General features: G+C 49.9%; 1 protein-coding gene across 16 annotated transcripts in view, besides 2 other annotated features; it reads left to right on the plus strand.

The window, feature by feature from the left end:
• The window catches only part of PTPRE (protein tyrosine phosphatase receptor type E), a 178,753-nt gene that overhangs the window by 117,808 nt on the left and 39,627 nt on the right, over window positions 1-21,318 (plus strand). For all 16 annotated transcript variants that reach the window (NM_001316676.2, NM_006504.6, XM_047425578.1 and 13 more), the window contains one exon: window positions 15,965-16,080. In NM_001316676.2, coding sequence (NP_001303605.1) covers window positions 15,965-16,080 — 116 coding nt within the window. The remainder of the gene's footprint in view (window positions 1-15,964; window positions 16,081-21,318) is intronic.
• Window positions 20,049-20,550: an enhancer, noted in NCBI's record as "H3K4me1 hESC enhancer chr10:129843223-129843724 (GRCh37/hg19 assembly coordinates)". NCBI's record gives its function as "activates a minimal SCP1, AML or CMV promoter by ChIP-STARR-seq in naive H9 embryonic stem cells {active_cell/tissue: H9 hESC(naive)}" and the evidence as "EXISTENCE:reporter gene assay evidence [ECO:0000049][PMID:30033119]".
• Window positions 20,551-21,050: an enhancer, noted in NCBI's record as "H3K4me1 hESC enhancer chr10:129843725-129844224 (GRCh37/hg19 assembly coordinates)". NCBI's record gives its function as "activates a minimal SCP1, AML or CMV promoter by ChIP-STARR-seq in primed H9 embryonic stem cells {active_cell/tissue: H9 hESC(primed)}" and the evidence as "EXISTENCE:reporter gene assay evidence [ECO:0000049][PMID:30033119]".

A 21,318-nucleotide genomic window follows, 5' to 3' on the forward strand; every position in this document is an offset into this window, starting at 1 on the left:
TTTGGGAGGCCAAGACAGGAGGATCACCCGAGGCCAGGAGTTTGGGATCAGCCTGGGCAATATAGCAAGAACCCATCTCTACAAAAAATATAAATGAAATTAGGCAAGCATGATGGTGCATAACTGTAGTTCCAGCTACTCAGGAGGCTGAGGTGGGAGGATGGCTTGAGCCCAGGAGTTTGAGGCTGCAATGAGCCATGATCATGCCACTGCACTCCAGCCTGGGTGACAGAATGAGATCCTGTCTCAAAAAAAAAAAAAAAAAAAAAAAGAACAGAAAAAAGCACTGAAATGAATTATGAAGCATTGTTAACTCTTAGACATAATGGATTTTTTAAATTCTTTTATGACAAATTGCCACTTGCTGTTACTCTGCCAGCATCAGGGAATGGGGTCAGTGCTGTAACTCCCCAGTGAGGACCCACGGCTTCAGCTTCTCTGTCTTAGCTTTGCTGGAGCTTCTTCTTCACTCAAGGAAACCCCATCTGCAGATTCCAAGCCTCCCACTGGAGAGGTGAGGTCAGGACGTGGTCATTTGAGTATGGAAATAGCGATAGATTTTATTGCCCCACTTTACAGACGAGTAAACTGCAGACATCACCTCCGCAGTCATCCACACAGTCAGGAGTAGGCCTGGGCGTCAGAGCCGGACCCTGTGCCCCCATCCTGAGCTCCTCCCAGACCCTGCAGCTTCTCCATGCAGCCTCATGTGGAGGGAGCCCAGTGCCATTCTTCATCCCCCCAGGAACTCCCCAAACCCTGGGGCCTCCCTGCCTGCACTGGATTCGGGTCTGAGGGCAGCACTGCCCACAGAGCCCTACATGTCGGGCTGGACTTTGCCACCAGGACCTGCTCCAGGGGACCCAGGGAAGCAGCCCCTCCCCAGCTCCCAGCAGCCTCCTGGGTCACCCCCTTTCCCAGGGCACTGTCTGTTCCCCAGGGACCTCAGATGCCTCTGAACACACCTGGCTTGTGTGTATAGGGTGCAGGGGGCATGTTTATATGGGGAGGGAGACAAATATTTTTGTCCATGGCTGCCTTTCTTTGGCAGCCAGAGCCAGGTACTTCCAGAAGTACAATCTCCCAGGGTGTGCTCAGAATTCACTTTCCAGCACCCCGAGAGTCTCCCATGTATCTCCAGAAACCCCAAAACAACCCATCCCTGGCAGGCCAAGCATGCAGGCATGGTGGGTGGCTATGTGGCCTGACTCTGCACGGCCCAGGTGGGCCCCAGGCTGCAGAAGAAAGAACACAGCACTTCCTCCCTCAAACCCCCAGCGCCTCTCTGGTTGGCCAGCCAGGTGCGGTGGGCAAATGCTTCACCATCTCTGACCTCCCTGTCCTCATCCATCTGTGTTCCAAGGCAAAGGGGCACTGCCTGTCTGGGCTACTGTCAGGGGAGGGTCTGGCGAGAGGCCCCCTGCACGCTTGCCAGCCAGCACAAAGCAGTATTTATCCCTTCCTCCTTTCCACCTGGCTGGCACCTGACCTCTCCCCAGTCTGTCTTCAGTGAAGGAAGATATAGAACAACGCCCACTTCCAGTGGGTCAGCTCGGGCTTGTCCGGAGCATGGCTGGTCCCCTGCCCAGACCCCTGGAGGACACTGTGGACCCATTCAGGTCCCTGCAGTGATAGCCAGACCAGGGACACCACCAAGCCCCTCATCCTTATTTCTCTGCCTGTTTCCCCTCCCACTTTTTCTCTCTTAACACTGGACTTCTTTGCCAGTCTTTTAGTAGTGTTTCAGTGATTTTACATTTAGACATAGGCAATTACTTTTGTTCAAAACATTCAGCTCCAACCTTCACCAACTGAGATAAAAAGCAAGCCCTTTGCATCCTTTTCTCTTTAACAAGCAAAGCTGTCTCCAAAGAGGCCAGCTCACCGTGGCTACATCTGAAACATGCTGAGTCAACAAATTTTTACCATTAAGGGTTTTTTATTGTTATTCTTTAAATCTTTCATCCATGTAAGTATATTCACACTTGAAGCTTGGAAAATGTCTGGATTTTGTTTCTCCTTCAGAAAACATACTTTGAGCTTTTGTTTTTCTCCATGTGTAACAAATAATCATTTTGCCCTATGAATCATATTGTCCTGATTTCATAGAAAACAGGTGCAGTATTAGATACAGACGCAGAGAGGGTCAACCCACAGCTGTGGTTTTCATGTCTGTGGGCAGGACTTATAGTAGTCCCTATTTCCTAGAGAGGGTATTAGCAGGCAATGAGGTGACGCTTAGGTTAGAAGCGCTTAGCACAGGGCCTGGTGTGTACTCAGTGCCCAGAAAGGTTGATTTGTATTATTAGCAATTATTCTGAGAAATTAACTCTGGCCTTGCTGGCCTGTGCTTCCTGCAGTGAGAGGCCTGATGGAGCCCAGTGGTCTGTGTGGCTGTCTGCTTCCTAGCACTCTCCCTCCTCGGCTGCTTTTGTGGGGCCTGCATGGTGGAGGGATGCCTAGCACCCCAGAATTCAGCCCCTACTGACCAGCACCCCACAGGAGGCAAGTCAAAGTGAGGCTCTGAGCTGTAGGTTAAAGGAGGTGCTTGTCCACTGGCCAGGAATGCCATTTCCCTGCTGTAATCGTCCTTGTTGAGGCTGTTCTGCTCTCGGGTTTATCAGAAGATAAAGGGGTCAGCCTCCGCCTCCTGGCCTTTGCTTTCCTTCCTAATCCAGAAACATGTGGGTCAGCGCCTGCATGACCAGGATGGATACTGGAAGAGTGGGCTATGGAGCCTTTGGAAAGGTATCCGGGCATCATTTCCACACCAGCATTCGTGTTATTTCTCCGTGCATGAATGGATGGGCCTTGAAGAGCCCGAAAAAGCAGGCTGAGCTCTCCTGAAAGGGGATAATCCTTGGTCTTTCTCTTTTTGCCAAAAGATCCTGGATAAATGAACCGAGAGAGACCCCAATCTGGACCAGAGATGGTGCCCCTGACGTTTGAGCCCACCTGGCTGAAAGAGGGCAGGTGACAGTCCCAGGACACCCACAGGAGGCTACTCAGGAGCCTGTATTTTGGGCAGAAACAAAGAAGCTGAGAGGCACAGTGAGGTGGGACACCAGCACGCCGAGGGTCTCCACCTCCCCAAGGCAGGACAGGCCATGGCAGAGGCTTCAGGGGAGGGTTCCGGCTTTGGCTGGGGGCGTGGGAGTCTCCAGAGGCAGCGAGCCCAGGACACTGATGGTGCAGACCACTGGATTTCTGGAGAACACTGTACTTCGCCAGCCTGCGGCAGACACATTATTCACAGAACTTTCTCCAAAGGAGGTTAGCCATGTTTGTCAGGCTCAGGGAGAAGTGAGGAGGCCTCCTTACCATCAATTAAATATGGGATCCGGATCACCCTGCGCCTGTCTCCTCCCCAGTCCTTTCTGCGACCTCAGGTGGCCTCACTCCTGGCAGGCAGAAGGGACTCGGGTCACACACAGCCACACTCGGGGATTAGGACCTGAAGGATATCATTGAGCCCGCGCCCGCCCCAGGCTGGAATTGCTGGGCCGTGATCTCCTCCATCTTTTCTTTCTCCAGCTGCCTCTGAAGGTCACAGAATCTGCATTTCTTAGGAAAAATGGGGCAAAGGTGAGATGGTACACAGCACACCTGGCCCTGGCTCAGCCCCCCAATGTGGACAGGTTGCAGAAGGCCACTGCCTCGCTGCAGGAGGCTGGCCCTCAGCGCCCAGCAGAAGCGGCAGCCCCATCTGTCCCCGAGACCCCACCCCCTCAGGCACAGCTGAGCAGCCCGCCGGGGCCCAGGGTTCCTTGGTCTTGGGTTCTGATGCCTTCATTCCCAGAACACGAAGCCAAGGCCAGGAGTCGGGATCTGCTCCCAGGAAGAAGCCTCCATCCCTGCGGAGGGCTTGAGACCCTCTGGGATGCGACCCAGTCCCCACCCATGGCCACTCACTTCCACCCTGCCCCGGCCCAGCCCTGGCCACCCCAGACGTCTGGCCCTCGTCCCGAATGCTGTCCCCTCTGGCCTCAGCTGTCCTCCTCGAGGAGCGCTATCCTGCTCCGTCTCTGCTCAGGGTCCCCCCAGAGGCCTCCCGCTGGGATTTGTCTCCACTTTGCAGTTGCCTTTTGCCCCACATGCCCCGTCCTGTGGTTATTTACCTTATGGGGGCATCCTCCCTCTTGATTGCGACTCCTCGGAGGCAGATAAGAGTGGGTGGCTTTCATCTTCCAGCTCCCAACTCCCAGCCCACTGGGCTGCTGTGCTGTGGTGCACGTGAGTCATCAGATGCCCCAGGCGGAAGGCTCGTGGGGGCTCAGGGCCCCAGCTGGGGGCAGAGCACCTCAAGAATCCTCTCAACTGGCTGCAGGCTCCTAGTTCTTGGTGACTTAGTGGATGGAAGACCCACCTACAGGTTTCCAAGCTGCTGCCTTTCTCTAACACATGGGCGGGTCCTGGCTCAGCACTATTGTTCTCCACCAGCCCTGACCCAGCACCCACTGTGAGCCAGGCCTGTGGGTGTCAGCACTAAAGACCAGAAGAGTCGCCAGCCCATGGGGCGTCTGAAGCAGGTGGCACAATTGACCCTCTCAGCCCAGACACCACCCAGGGCCTTCTCCCTGACCTCGGCTACAGCAGATGAGAAGGACACTGTGGGAGAACCGAGTCAGGATGCCCAAACTGGATGACTTCCCTGAGGGCGGTGCACTGCTGAAGGCCCGTGGGTCTCCATTCTCTGGGATAATGCCAGACTCCAGCAGAAGCTTTAGTCTATTTCTGAATAGAGAAAATCTGCTGAAAAACGTCTATTTTCCAGCTGAATAAACAAGCCTTTCAAGAAGAGGAGGATGAAGAAAAGACGGCATGTGTCCAAGTTGAGCTGAGACGGACTGTAAGCCCAGGCCTGCCTAAGGCCCCCACAGTGGGCATCACCAGGGCTGGGGTCTTAGGGGCCGCCAGCTTCCTCCACCCACCTGCCTGCACAGACAGCTCCTGGGCATCAATGCCTCAGCAGTCAGATCCGCCCAGGCTGCTTCTGAAAGAGTTTTGTAGAGAGATTGCTCTTCTGGGGGCGGGGACAGGACACTTATCTCCATCCCCCCACCAATCATCACAGGAGGATGAAAAACCTCAAAGAAAGACCCAGGGGGCAGACACAGGCACAGATCCCAGTGGAGATGCAGGCTCCGGAATTGCAGGCTCCTTTTTGGAAACGGCAGAGGCTCCCCATGTGGGCTTCCCTCACCCCTCCGAGGCCTTCCCAGGAAGACTTGGTGGCAGAGACCGTGTCCACTCAGCAAACACCACCGTTCGCTTTGCTGAGTTTGCAGTTTCCCGCAGCATGGCTGCTGCCCTGGCGAACAACGGGGCCACGCCGTTACAATAACCAGCCCTTGCCTGATGAGTTACAGTTTACAAGACTCACTCATTTATGATTTCGTGGGATTCTCTTGTTTCACTCATTGGGAAGCAGGCGCAGAGAGGTTAAGTGTTCTGGAAAAGGCCCTCCTCTGGGGGTAGAGGGAGGGGAAAGAGAGAGAGAGAGAAAGGATGAGAGTTAATGAGAAAGAGAGGCAGAGAGAGACGTCGAACCAGCTGGGTCTTCAGGCTCCGTGGCCCGGGCCCTTCAGAAAGTGCCGTGAGTTGATGTGCTGGAGAGAATCCACGTGTCAGTCCCCGACACCTTATTTCTTCATGGCGATTCCTTTAAAAACACCCGTGGAGCACCTCCTCTGTGGCAGCTCTGAGAAGGCACCAGGGTAGAGACCTGCATGAGAGTTGGCCTCTGCTTTGAGCAGTGCCGCGTGCATGGATAATCCTGCCGGCAAGGTCTTCCTGGACATCTCTGAACACTGAGGGTTGGCGTTGCCAGGGGAGACTCCTGGTCGCCCGCGTCCTATTCAGGTTCTGTGGGTTCCCAGGGCCCTGTGCTCTCTGTCCCCTGCAGGCCTCCCTCACCTCCCCAGCCTCCTTGGACCGGCTGACTCCCTTTCTCCCCAGGCAGCCCTCCAGACCCCTCTAGACAGGGGCAGGCACCCTGCAGGGCGCCCCTACCACATCGTGTGCTTCCCCCGCCTAACACATGGCAGTTGCATTCTAGTTATTGAAGTCTTTTCTCTCTCTGGCTGAATCGCAAGCTTTGGAAGTGGGGAGGTGGGAGGAGGGGCCAAGGGCAGTGTTGGTCTTGTTTAGTTGTCTCTCCACATCCTGGCAGTCAACTCTTAGTAACCAATGCTGAATGAATGCATGGATGAATACATAAGCCAACCAGCAGGTACTCTTGAGTCTACAGTCTCCCTCAACTGGCAGCTGATGGATTTCTTTGAAATCAAAAGTGTAGCGTAAACCTACCCACAGAAGTTTAGTCCAGTCATCATCACTTTTGGAGGTCTGATCCAGGGTGGGCTGTACTCAGCGAGGCCTGGGGTGCAGCTGGCCAGCGTCTCCTCTGTCAGCCACACCCCTGAGCGGAGGCTCCGTGGAGGGGCTGCAGGCCTCAGCTCCGGGTGCCCTCTTCTCAGTGGGAGACAGCGGGAGGGCTGTGCTGTTTCCAACATTCCCAACACTTCCATTGTTTCACACCATTACTGCCGAGCCCCAAGGGCGGATGGGTGGAGCCATGTTGTGTGGGCCCTGCTGTTTTCCTGGCCAGGGTGTTTTGGGCAGTGGTTCTGTTTCCTATATTGATGTTTCCCACGACCCTGCCAGGTAGCCTCTGATAAAGCACATCTCTTCTGAGTGAGCAATGGCCTTTGGGGGCCATGAAGTACCTGTGAGTGTGACTCTGCCAGATGACGGGCAGGTGCAGCCATCAGTCGGACCTGAGCAAGGCTACATTCCTTACCTGGCTCAGGTGTGAATCTTCAGGGCAGCAAAATGTGGATGAGACTGAGTAAGGGGAGAATCAATATGTGTTTTGTTGAGAGAAGGAAAAATATGAGCAGGTCTCATGACAGAGGGGTCAGAGATCTAAATCTTGGAGGGCCCCAGGGCTCAGTTCCAACCACGCCACCCCTTCTCTCTGCATTCTCTCCAGGGGGCCGTATTTCCCTCTTCAACAGAGACAGCCCTATTTTCTGCTTGCTATCCCTGTGTCCTGTCCACTTTCACATTTGCTCCATATTTTTCATCTTAGAGCAATTGAAAATTAAACCTTTATTTTTTTGAAACAGAGTCTCTTTCCATCACCCAGGCTGGAGTGCAGTGGCGCAATCTCGGCTCACTGCAACCTCCGCCTCCTGGGTTCAAGCAATTCTCCTGCCTCAGCCTCCTGAGTAGCTGGGATTACAGGCGCCTGCCACCACGTCTGGCTAATTTTTGTATTTTTAGTAGAGATGGGGTTATACCATATTGGCCACAGTGGTCTTGAACTCTTGACCTCAGGTGATCCACCTGCCTTGGCCTCCCAAAGTGCTAGGATTACAGGCATGAGCTACCATGCCTGGCTGAAAATTAAACTTTTAATGTTGAAATGATACTTGCATTAACAGAATCCAGGAAGGTTCTGTAGACTGTCCACTTGTGCCTCCAAGCTTCTGCTGTGCTCTCCTCATAGGATGGAGACACCTGTGTAGGGAACAGGCTCTCTTTAATCATGACTAAATCCGGAAGATGACAGCCACCGTCTTCTCTCTCTTCACCACCCTTTCCTAACACAATGTCAGTAACACTTACCTTTCAAGGACAACAGGCAGGTTAGAAGAGAAAAAGTGCCCTTGGAGAAGAGTGGGTTAGAACCAACTCCCGTTGGCCTCCCAGTGTGGCGGGAGGAGGCTTCAGGGTTGGGACTCTTGCTGGCCACTTGTGGCACCAGCCAGTTGAGCTGCGGCCCACACCATGGCCTGTGAGATGCCATGGTCATCAGCACCTATCAGAAACATGAGAAATTACAGGGTAGAGGATTTTGAAATATTTGCAGGAAGTCAGTACAACTTGTAAAAAACAAACAGTCTGAACTCTCTTCTTCCATGGGCTTGGGCATTTATCATATGGTGTGAATCTGCAACTCTATTTAAATTATGTTTCAATAGAACTTTCTGAATTTGCCTTAAACTTGTGGGTCAGGAATAATTAGAAAAGGCATATCAAGCACTGATTTTTTTCCAGAAAGTTGATGATAATGTTGGTATAATTTGTAATTTATACAAAATACTTATAAACATTTACTAACTACCTCGGGGGCTGTAATGGTGTCGCTGACCACGTAGAAGCCAGGAAGAAATAAAAAGCTACTAAGAGATCATCAGTATTCACTAAGCGGCTGCTTGAAGAACCCTGCACCTGAGGATGATAAATTGAAGGTGCTTTGCAAACTGCTAACAAAGCATGACTTTTCACTTAGCTCAAACGACTATTCTCAGCTAATTTTGCTCATCTTCAATTCCAGGTTTCACTGTGTGCTTACAGAAGGTGAAGTGATAGCTGTTAGTGCTCCCAAGGGTAGAAGAATTTCACGAACCATCAGATGATGCCAGTGTTACATCAGTGTCACTTTCAAGCAGGAATTTTCAAACAAAATCAGTCCATTCCCATAGCAGTTTTATTTTATTTTTTTATTCATTTCATGGAATCCCAATACAACTTGGATGTTCCTCCTGTCAAAGGCAAGACCTTGACTTAATTACTAATGTCACAGGAAAGGCAGTGGAAGAGTCAGCATCATGATAAAATTATTTGTGGGGGAATTATGAATATGATTATATAAGTTTGGGTAAAGCTCGGCATTTGTAGTAAATGTATTGTACTTGGAATTGATTATGGTGTACACATCATTTATTTACTTATTTATTTATTCAAGATGGAGTGTCGCTCTGTCACCCAGGCTAGAGTGCAGTGGCACAATCTCGGCTCATTGCAACCTCCGCCTCCCGGGTTCAAGCGATTCTCCTGTCTCAGCCTCCTGAGCAGCTGGGATTACAGGCGTGCACCACATCACCCATCTAATTTTTGTATTTTTAGTAGAGGCGGGGTTTTGCCATGTTGGCCAGGATGGTCTCGAACTCCTGACCTCAAGTGATCTGCCTGCCTCGGCCTCCCAAAATGCTGGGAGTACAGGCATAAGCCACTGCACCCAGCCTCACAGCATTTATAATTGTGTCCAAATTGGACATCTCATCAGTTAAAATAGAAGCTGTTGATGTCAAAATTTATAAATAGTTACATGTACACAGAGTAACTAAACTGCAAATTCCTGGTAATTAGGCTGATGTTGAATTTTTAAAACACTGCCGCTTTGTAGTATGCACTTTCTCTCTCCTGCTCATCATCAATCAGATTCTAGAAATGTTCGGGCCTTCAAAGAATTATTTTGTAAATAAACCTAAGTGTCCTAAAAAGATGGTGAATCTTTCTGCAAACAAGGCCCTAAGTGTGAGTTTAGTTTAGTTCCAAACTAGTTGGAAATATATTATGGGAGGATTCAATAAATGGAGCACCCAAAACCCTCCCCTCCACACCACCCCCCCCACCGACACACACACAGAACTCTTGGCTTTTGAAACTTTTATAGAGTTAAAATTATTGAAAACAAAGGTTATGGCTGGGCATGGTGGTGGCTCACACCTGTAATCCCAGCACTTTGGGAGGTCAGGGCGGGAGGATTGCTTGAGTCTAGGAGTTTGAGACTAGCCTGGGCAACATAGTGAGACCCCCCCCATCTTTACGAAAAAAAGTCTTAAATTTTGCCAGTCATGGTGGTGCATCCCTGTAGTCCCAGCTACTTGGGAGGCTGAGATGGGAGGATCCCTTGAGCCCAGGAGGTTGAAACTGCAGTGAGCCAGTCTGGCAACAGAGTGAGACTCTGCCTCAAACAAACAAATGAGGTTATGAACAGGAAGACACTAAAACTTATTTCTACAAAAACAAGGAAGCAATAAAGTGAATTAAATGATGAGAGCTCACAAAATGCTAATCTAAAAAAATGCAGGCAATTTTATTTTAAAAATTAAAACATGAATAAGAACATTGAAAAATATATTGAATGAAACATATTAGGAACAGATAAGGCTAAGAAATTGATCAGAGCCTGTGAATGTGTGCTGAGAATAAGTATTATTTTACGTTCTCATTTTATTTTCAGATAATCAATACAAAAAGGTTTTTTTCTTTTATTTTTATTTGTTGTTGTTGTTGTTGACACAAGGTCTGGCTCTGTTGTCCAGGCTGGAGTGCAGTGGCATGATCTCGGCTATTGCAACCTCCGCTTCCCAAGCTCAAGTGATCCTCCCACCTCAGTCCAGCAAGTAGCTGGGACCACAGGCACCCATCACCGCGCCCAGCTAATTTTTTGTATTTTTTGTAGAGACAGGGTTTTGCCATATTGCCCAGGCTGGTCTCAAACTCCTGAGCTCAAAGCGATCTGTCGGCCTGGGCATCCAAAAAAAGTTTTCTTAAAAACATATATATGTATATATATACACACACACACACACAAAATATGTTATTTTGTTTTCAGAAAGATTGTTTAATTTTTAAAAATATTTTGTGAATAGAACTACTTAATAGCCTCCCAGCTTAATAAAATCAAATCATTGGTCAATAAATGTTTTAGAGAAGCATATATTTTGAATCATTTTAGCCCCCTCCTTTGCTCTCCAAGAAGTCCTGGTTTGGATGAGAAATTACATGGGACCCATTCCAGGGGCTCTCTTTAAGTGCGGTGGCTTTGAAACCTGAGTATGGCTCCCAAATCATTGTCTCCTGCTTCCTTGAGAAGAACCCTCATCTGTTTCTTAGTTGAAAGCCAAACAGCTGCAGGTTTTGACCAGGTAGGTGATGGGTTCGGGCTGCAGAGAGAAAACACTACCCTCTTGGAGCTGCAGGGGGCAGTGTGGGTCAGTCCACTGCTGGACATCCTGGGCCAGCTGGAAAGGGCACTTTCGGGTTTGGTAGGGCCAGAGGGGTCAGCTGGGCAACTCCTGCTCAGAGGCACTGGCCCAGGGATGGCCCCTTGCCCTCAAATGCCCTGAAAGCTCCAATTATTGAGGTGCCGGAGAGAAAGTCAGGGACTGGGAAACGGGGACACAAGACAGCCCCTACACTCTGGGGTCTCCTGGGCTGGTTGAGACGTCCAAAACCCAAATCACCTTACACAGGGCCAGACAGTGTGATGCCAGGAAGGACTCCATCTCAGGTCGCTCAACCTCAAAATCTGGTGGGGTCAAGTAAAGGGTGAGGAGAGAGAGGGGACCACTCCAAAAGAGGAGGCAGGGATGTTGGGAAGTGGACGGGGATCAGGAAAATCCCTTTCCTACCCTGGGTGTGTACCTCGACCTGCCTTCTGCCCTCCCCCGAGCCCAGCCACCTTTTCCCAGTCTCCTGCCGAGCTCCCTTCCTCGGGCCCTAGTGCAGTGACTTCCTGCAGCTCGCCACCTTGACCCTGGCCTTCCTCCCCAATAACCCCCACAAGGAGTGCCTCCCCCACACGCTGCACTTGCAGCCCACCTCCCCTTCTGACAAGGCCCCAGACCCCAGATGCAACTCCTACAGACAGTCTCCCCAGGAATGTTCCACTGTCCTCTCTAATGCAACCTTTCATCTTCAGTAACAACAGGACATTGCTCATAGGATTTCGGTGAGGGTTGATGAGGTCATTTATCTCAGAACCTCAGGTAGCTTATCCCGCTTCATAGGAGCCCAGTAACTGGGAGCTTATATTATTGCCTTATGCCTCCAGCTAAAAATCATCCTTATCCCCACCCTAGAGCCCCCATTGTCCTTGTCTCAGCTAATGAATGATGCTCCCTCCCACCCCAGCTCCCAAGATGGAAACCCCGATACCTTTGTTGCCCCACTTATCACCCACATCCCACTGACCACCACTGCCAGGGACCCTACCTTTGAAATCCTTCTAAACTCCCTCCCTCCTTTCCATTCCCATTGCCTCCGGCTTGGTCTTTCTTAATCCATTGCTTAGACCAATACGTCTCAAATATTAATGAGCAGAGGAACCACCGAGGAATCTTCATAAAAGGTGGGAGGTCTGGGATGGTCCTGAGACTCTGCATTCCTCACATGCTCCCAGGTGATGCTCGGGCTCCTGGACCACTCTCCGGCCGCAAAGGCTATCCTGTGTCAGGAGCTGACGCGCAGCATCCAGGGCTCCCTTTGGAAACTTTCCTGGCGGCTCATGACTCGTAGCCAAGATTTTCAAACTTCAGTCTATATAAAGCCATTATTCCCCAGATACTCGGATTTCTTCCATCTGGAGTTGGGCACAGGAGTGGGCATCATTCCTTAGTGCCCCCAGGAGACTCTAATAATGTAGATTGTTAATGGAAAATGAGCCCTTAGGGCCAAGCCAAATCTAGCATAGCATTGAGGACCTACCCAATTCCTCTTCAGACTTTTCCTCCTCACTCATCTTCTCTCACATGCCAGAGAACTGTGAACTGCCTGGACAGTGGGTTCTGTCTGGGCTCCCTTCACTCCTCTGTCCCCTGGCCTGCGTCTCCCTCGCCTTCCGTCCTGAATGACTCACTCACTGCACTGCATTTCTGGGGAAGGTTTCATTAACTGCCAAGAGGAATCATTGCTCCCTCACCTTTGCTCCTTGGCACATGGCCTTGTCTCCAGAGCATGGGAGTGGGGTATCAGGGTGGCTGTTCTTCTGCCTGCCCTTCCTCCTCAATGAGCTACTTTAGGGCTGAAACAAGACTATATTCTTTGCATCTCTGGGGCTTACCTGGCTGCCTGACCTAAGAACTTGCCCAGTGAAGAATATTAAAAAGACATCAGATGGAATAAAAAGACAGATTTATAATGAAGTAGATAGCAGGTTGACTGTTGAGGGGAGTAAATATACAACCTGCTTTATCATAAATAAACTCCTTTTCTCATCTCAGTTCTAGAAATCACATGCAATTTGTGCTCTACATACTCAGCATTTGGTAGGCTCACAACAGAAACTGATGAAATACAAATCCTTAAAATTCTGCATTTTTTTATATGAGTCTCGCTCTATTGCCCAGGCTGGAGTGCAGTGGTGCGATCTCGGCTCACTACAAGCTCCGCCTCCTGGGTTCAAGCAATTCTCTGCCTCAGCCTCCTGAGTGGCTGGGATTACAGGTGCCTGCCACCATGTCCGGCTAATTTTTTTTTTTTTTTTTTTTTTTGTATTTTTAGTAGAGACAGGGTTTCCTGGGCAGGCTAGTCTTGAACTCCTGAACTTATGATCCACCCGCCTCGGCCTCTCAAAATACTGGGATTACAGGCATGAGCCACCGCGTCTGGCCCAGCATGATTTTAATCACTGTTTCAAGCATCATTTGGACCAATTCATGTCTGTGCTCACCAGGTCACTTATGCAAGCCCACTGAGAGTGAATGGCCAGGGACTGGCAAGTTGTCATTGGCCTTAAAACTATTGTGGAAGTTAGTGTGGTGATTCCTTAAGGATCTAGAACTAGAAATACCATTTGACCCAGCCATCCCATTACTGGGTATATACCCAAAGGATTATAAATCATGCTGCTATCAAGACACATGCACACAGATGTTTATTGCGGCACTATTCACAATAGCAAAGACTTGGAACCAACCCAAATGTCCAACAATGAGAGATTGGATTAAGAAAATGTGGCACATATACACCATGGAATACTATGCAGCCATAAAAAGGGATGAGTTCATGTCCTTTGTAGGGACATGGATGAAGCTAGAAACCATCATTCTGAGCAAACTATCACAAGGACAGGAAACCAAACACCACAGGTTCTCACTCATAGGTGGGAATTGAACAATGAGAACACTTGGACACAGGAAGGGGAACATCACACACCGGGGCCTGTCGTGGGGTGGGGGGAGGGGGGAGGGATAGCAATAGGAGATATACCTAGTGTAAATGACGAGTTAGTGGGTGCAGCACACCAACATGGCACATGTATACATATGTAACAAAACTGCACGTTGTGCACATGTACCCTAGAACTTAAAGTATAAATATATATATACATATAAAAAATGGGGACAGACCCGGGCTCCAGCTGGTGGACAGGCTTTGAATTCTGCAGGTTGTCGCCCATTGCTGGTCATGTCAGGAAAATCACCTGTGGCTCTCCTGAGCACTTCCGGACCTCAGTGTCTAACAGATGAACAAAATGATCTTTGTCTTTCTCAAGGGTGTCGGCCTCCTCTTAGATCACTGAGCATTTGGAGAGGAGGGTTATTAAATTAATGCATGAGATAAGAAAATGTTTCAACTAGGAATTCTGCATCTCTGGAATTGTATTAAACCAATTAATACTCCCCAATCAATTACTCTGTAATTTACTCAAGTATATTAAAAGTATTGTGGCAGTGTGCAATACCAGATTTTTAAAAACAGTGTGTGCCTCTGTGGGCAGAGCTGCCTGTCGTAGAAGGGCCAGGGCAGCATGCAGCGGGGGTGAGGGCTTCTGTCTCCAGGGTTCCTGGGTTCAAATCACAGTTCCTCCATATCCTCCAGCCTGACTTTGGGCCAGTTCTCTATCCTTCGGGAACCTCTGTTTCTCAGCCCTGTGGGGTTATTGTGCGGATAATACAGATATAAAATACCCAGCATATAGTAGGTGCTCATGGAATTATTTGTGTATGTGGCTCATTTTACAAATCTAAAATGTGTGTTTTGGAAATAAAAAAAAGAGGGAAGAAGTAAAAGTGCTGATTGCCACCATCGTCGTTGTTCTGGGCTAATTGTTATAATATCCTCATAATGGTTTCATCTTAATAGTGGTGATTACTGAAACACAATTAGGATTTTTCATGCTCATTCAGATGTCTTCTCTAATTACAAGCATTAGTGTTTAACATGTGAGCAGCCGGGGAATGGATGTTTCTTGGCCTCAGTTCTGAAATGGGTCCATTTGCATCCCTGAGGGAGGCCTCAGGCAGGAGGGCTGCTGGTGGGGACAGGCTGACCTTGGACGGGGTTCAGGGGGTGGGGAGTGGGGGGGCCACACCTCCACTGCATGTCTGCATTGTCAACAGCAAATCCCATTCAGCAGGTGCCACTGCCCACCTGCACCTGCCAGTGAGCCTCTAGTGAGGGGTTTCCACAGCACCAAGCAGTCACTGCCACATTTAGCGATGCTCTGATGTTTTGGCAAAATGGAGTGCCAGGTGAAGATCTGAGGTGATGGCCCACAGGTCCTCAGCATGAAAGAGCCTTTTTCTGTGCTGAGCCACTTTACAATCTGGGTCTGCCCCTGGGCATTCCCACCCCCTACCCCCAATAAATACCTGCATCCCAGGGTACTCAATTGGCTCTGTCAAGATGAGTGGACCGTGGCTCCATCCTCGCAGAGGCAGCTTACCTCCACTTCACCTGAGAGTTTAGACATGGCCATGGTCAGATGCAAGGGTCAAGCTGGAGCCAGGCAGAGCATGCTGGAGCCAGACCAAGCATGTAGGAGCTAGACCGAGTGTGCTGGAGTCAGACTGAGTGTGCTGGAGCAGCGAAGAACAGAGAACTTGGCTGCAGCTGGGTGATGAGGCTGCATGAACTAGGCCCTGAAAGGATCGAGGTTTCCCAGGCAGAGTGAAGGGGGATGAAGAAACCGATTGAAAAGCAGTGTCTTGCTGGGTGTGAAGAGGACAGCGTGGCCAGAGAACAGGGCTTGAATGGGAGGGGTAGAGTTAGCAGGGCGAGTGGAGGGTGGATGGTAGAGGGTCCAGGATGCCAGGCTAGGTCACCCAGATGTGATTTCTGCTAAGTGGTTCCAGGGAGGGCAGGGGTCTGGGATGAGATCACCCTGGGTTCCAGTCCCTGATCTGCCCCCACTAACCATCAACCAAGCAGGTCCTTTGAGTCCTGGTTCCCTCCTTTGAGTGAATGTCCACAGTCAGTGACTGTATCCCCCTGGTGTTGAGAAGCCTCAGTGAGATGATCCGTGAAAGTGACAGGCAAAGTTCTTGGCTCAGAGAAAGCCCTGAAATGAAGTTGGCTCTTCTCCTCATCATCACTGCCTGGCACCGGAGGGTCCCACAGCTGCTGCTGGATGACCTCTGAGCCTGTCCCTGCCTCTCTGCAGGTCCACCATGGAGCCCTTGTGTCCACTCCTGCTGGTGGGTTTTAGCTTGCCGCTCGCCAGGGCTCTCAGGGGCAACGAGACCACTGCCGACAGCAACGAGACAACCACGACCTCAGGTAAGGACCCCTTTCCCTGGCTGCCTCCCCTACTACCTCCTCCTAAGCTCCTGGGACCATTCAGAGGGTGATAAAGGGGCTTAGGGTAAGAGAAGAATGGTGTGGCTGAATTTCTTAGTGTGCTTTTAATAGTTTGTGCCTCTAAAAACAGGCAGGCTAAATAAGCTAGTTTAGCATTTGGTTGTTCAGCAAAGCTTAGTGTTCTGGAGGTGACCCATCTACAACCCCAGCTGAGAGTCAGGGTCAGCCTTGGCTGGAGGCAGGAGTGCAAAAGGGTTAAAAATCCCCCAAAATCCCCTTGTGCAGAAAACCAACCATGAACATACATGGATGAGGCGATGTGACAGTTAATGATAGGAACTAAAGAATTATTCTTAGGCCGGGTGCGGTGGCTCATACCTGTAATCCCAGCACTTTGGGAGGCCGAGGTGGGCAGATCACGAGGTCAAGAGATTGAGACCATCTTGGCCAACACGGTGAAACCCTGTCTCTACTAAAAGTACAAAAATTAGCTGGGCGTGGTGGTGGGCGCCTGTAGTCCCAGCCACTCGGGAGGCTGAGGCAGGAGAATCACTTCAACCTGGGAGGCGGAGGTTGCAGTGAGCTGAGATTGTGCCACTGCACTCTTGCCTGGCAACAGACAGAGACTACGTCTCAAAAAAAAAAAAAAAAAAAAAAAAAGAATTATTCTTAATATTTTAGGTCAGATATTGGCGTCATGGTTAGTTTTATTTTTAAAAAGAAGAGTCCTTGCCTTTTGACATGCCTGCTGAAGGGTTCACGAGTGAACTGTGATGTCTGGGCTTTATGCAGAAAAGAGCAAGAGGGAAGTGGGGGTGGGGGCTTGTGAACAAAGTCACATCAAGAGCCCCACATGATTCCCTAACCCTGGACAAATGTCCTGCAAACCCTGGACAAATGTCCTGCAAATGTACCACTGGCCCCAGGAGGAGGAAAGAGTAAAGATTTCTGGTGACAGAACCTCTAGCAAGGAGAGCAGTTCTGAGCGCCCACCTGTCTTTTTCCTCTTCATGTTGAAACCTCAGAGAAATCCAAAACCCCAAAAATGAGAGACCAGAAGCTGCCCGCAAATATTAACTTGCCTCTTTGCAAGCCAGCCTTTCAGGGGCAGGTCACTGGTGGTTCAAAGAGTTATTTCAACCCACAATCCCGACTTTTCTTCCCAACGCTAATCGACTGGCCACGTAGAAACATCTGACAAACTGCCCGGATGTACCCTCACATCCAGGAGCCACAATGGCAGAACATCCGTTTGCGCAACAGTGGGGAAGAATCTGCCCGAGCTCTGCAGACAGTCCCTCGGGTGGCACTGTGGGCACCGGCAGGATGACGTCCACTCCACATCTGAGGCTTTTCAGTTTATTTGAAAACAAAATTATTGGGCTCACATATTGCCATAGACATGGGGTGTTACTTGCAGGAGGAGGACACTGTCATGTGACCTCAGCACCCAGAGCAGAACTAAATGTGAAACTCACACCTTGGTCCAGCCTCTGCCAGGGCCTCTGCGTGCTTAGCAAGGCTGCTGGTCCACGAGCAAGAGGGAAATGGGCCTCGGGTTATAAGGCGCAGACGGGCTCGTTTGACCTAGAATTGTGGAGGGGAACCTGACCCTGTGAAGTGCCCTTTAAATCTTCATCTGACCCCTGGAAGAAGTATGAAGGACCATTTCAGATGATAACACGTTTCCACAGTGTGCCAAAATAATAGGAAGCTGTTTCATTTGTTCATCGAACAAAATATATTCAGTACTCATGCAGACAAATTCTTTTACAGAAGGAATTGAAGGTAAATGTTTACAAATTATGTAATAAAATGTTATCTATAAAAAATAATACGTAAAAGAACACAGTCGAAAAATGAGTAGAGAATATGACCAGGTAGAATACAAATATCTAATTATGTTTCACTAATCATGAAAAGATGCTCAACTCTCTAGAAATTAGAGAAATGCAAGTTAAAATGACATTATCATTTTACCTATCAGATGGACCAAAATGCAAAGGGTTGGCAAAATATCCCAGAGAAGAGAAACTGGCTCCATCGCACATTATGGGCAGCATTCCGCAACCTTTGTGGCACCAGGGACTGGTTTAATGGAAGACAGTTTTTCCGTGGAATTGGGGTGGGGGGTGGTTTGGGGATGATTCAAGTGCATTATATTTATTTTGTACTTTATTTCTATTATGATTACATTGTAACATATAATGAAATAATTATACAACTCACCATCATGTAGAATCAGTGGGAGCCCTGAGCTTGTGTTCCTGCAACTAGACGGCCCCTCTGGGGGTGATGGGAGACAGTGACAGATCACCAGGCATCAGGTTCTCTTAAGGAGCACGCAACCTAGATCCCTGGCATGCGCAGTTCACAATAGGGCTCACGGTCCTGTAAGAATCTAATGCCGCTGCTGATCTGACGGGGGGCGGCGCTCAGGCGATAATGCCTGCTCACCTGCCACTCACCTCCTGCTGTGTGGCCCAGTTCCTAACAGGCCACAGACTGATATCCATCTGTGTCCTGGGGGAGTTAGAGACCTCCGCTGTGGATGAATGTAGAAGTTGGACACTTGGGGCTGCCATCTTGGCAATTGTGTTAAAATGTAACAGGCGTACAGGCTAACACAGAAGCTGTCCTACAGAAACACTTGCGAGACACAAAGATATATATGTGTGTGTGTGTGTGTTGCAGAATTGTAGGTAATAGCAGAAAAGTTGGAAACAACTTAAATGTCCATCCTATTTTGGTCTATCCAAAAAGTGGAATCCAAGCAGCTATTAAACAGAATGAGGAAGCTTATCTGGGCTGACATGGAAACTCTCCAAGACAGACAGCCGTACCAGAAAAGCAAGCTGGAGAACTGCCCCGTGGTGCATTTCATCTGTTTCTTTCATATTTAATGTGGCTATATGGGGACGTGTCTTAAAATTGGTAGCACTTCACAATTATAATCAGTATCATTTTTTTTCTTTCTTAGTGGTTCTTAAAATAACGATACTTTTTACAGTCCGTGAAGCTGTAGATGAAACGAGAGGAGTAGTATGGTCTATTTATTTCCCAAACCTGCATATTTATGAACGTAAATTTATAGAAGAAAATGTCAGGAAAGATACGCTTTGAAATCTTAATTATGTTTAACTCTGGCAAAGAGAACAGGTTCCTGAACATTGAAAATTTTAGGCCGGAGTGAGTTGGGACCTTAAACCATTGTCTGCACACCTGTCCTTGAGTGAGCCACATCTTTTCAGTATGGACTTGCTCCGCCTCTAGGGCCCCTGGGGAAGGAGGGCTTGGAATGAAGGTGGGAGAGGAAAAGAGGGATGGAGATAAGATAGGGGACACAGTGAGAGCAGCTGTGCCCTGGGGCAGAACTGAGGTAGTCCCTGGAAGACCCCGGCTCTTGGCCAGAGCTCAGGATCAGCTTCCTGAGCAGAGGGTGCTGGGTGGCTACACTCCAGCCAAGGTTGCCATTCTCTTTGTCTCCTCCAAAGTCACATTCAAGCCTAAGGTTTTCAACTTTCAGGATCAGATTCTATGTAAGCAAACACACACACACACAAGTTGCAAGTGTATGTATGTATAAAATTGGTGTGAACATACACACACTTCACTTTGGGCAATAGCTAGACAGTCATACAGGAAGAAGGCTGCTTCAGGATGACCACCCTGGGGACTGGCCACCCTGACCTCTGTCCCACCCCGTCAGAGCCACAATAACATGAAATGAAAATAAACTGTGACAGGAATTTCTTCTCAGATGACTCCCTGACTCCTGGCTGGACCACATTGGTGCCCAGAGGACATATTTTTGTTTTCTTCCTGGTCCACACCATTTAAAAAAAATGTTTTTAAATTGAATTTCTTACCAATATTTAAAAATCAGAAAATGTTTACATAAAAATATGAATTTCTTCTTTAGGAAAGTGGGAAGAACTAGGCACTGTGGGCACCCCTTGTGCTTGGCCCCAGTGGGCTGGAACTCAGAAGTAGCCATCCCTGCAGGCAGGACATGGGGAGTCCCAACTCTCGCCCCCACCTGGCCTCCCCACACCACCCAGGGATGTTCTTACCTGCCCCTTGAAGGCCATTGGGTTTCTGATCCTGATCTCTGGCCTCCTGAACAGAGGTAGCTACTAAGAAACACCAGGAACAGAGCTGGGGAAGCCACTGGCCCTGTGACCCATCCCTTCTGCCCGTGTGCACGGCCCCTTTCTGGGCTTGGGTGGTTCAGCCCCGTCTTCTATGGAAGTACCCATGTCTGTGACCGCAGCCTTCACTACAGGCAGGAACGTGGAGGCCAGACCCACGGAGGGCTGGTGGGGCCCAGGTGCTCCCTCGTGTCTCTCTCTGATGAGAGGACCCCATGAGTTGGCTTGGACTAAACTTAGTAGTCACCATCTCTGCAGAAGCTGAGCCCAGAGCCTGACCTCTGTGTGATGCAGAAGTGGGAAGTTTCATTGCCTGGGGCCCCGGGAGATGAGGGCAGATGTACCTGGGTACATTCGAGAGGGAGGAGGGGGACCGAGGCCCAAGCTTTCTGGCTGAGTCTGGAGTGTGAGCAGCAGCCAGGCCCTCCGTGGGGCTGGGCTCCAGGCTGCCCCTCCCTCCGTGTCAGGGGTCTTCCCACTCAGCCTGTCGGAGTTGCTCCAGGGCCCTGGCAGAGTGGAGAGGGGTGCTCTCTGGAGCTGCAAGTGTGGAAGCCTCAGGCCAGCTCACTTCCCCAGGGAAGCTCTGCTGTGGGCAGGTTGGAGGTCAAAGGCGGGGGACTGTGGCAGCCACACCCAGCCACTCATCCTAGCACCAACCGAACCTTGTGTGGGGCCAGAACCAGCTCCTCTGGGCCAGGGTCACAGACACCTGAGTGTGGGGGCTGCAGAGGACAGCCAGGCTGCCAGGCTACTGACACTGCTAGCCAGATGGGGGAGGCACGGACCCCACCTGGAAGGTGGGCACTTAGTGGGTGGGCCAGGTGAACAGTGCCCTCTCTCACGGCTGGGGCCACCTCCGCATCACAGACCAGCTGTTTCCTCTGTGAACTTCAACATCTAATGGTCACCCACGTCCCTAAAACTTCATCATTTATGAGAAACGATGGTGCGGACCACTCATAGGGTGCCAGAGTCAGTGCCAGGCCTGGGAGGGTAGGGGATGAGGGAGGAAAAGCCACACCTTCCCTGGGGAGTTTATAACCTAGGGTGCAAGGCGGAAGGCATG

The sequence above is a fragment of the Homo sapiens genome, chromosome 10 (assembly GCF_000001405.40).
Source record: "Homo sapiens chromosome 10, GRCh38.p14 Primary Assembly".
Taxonomy (NCBI): domain Eukaryota; kingdom Metazoa; phylum Chordata; class Mammalia; order Primates; family Hominidae; genus Homo; species Homo sapiens.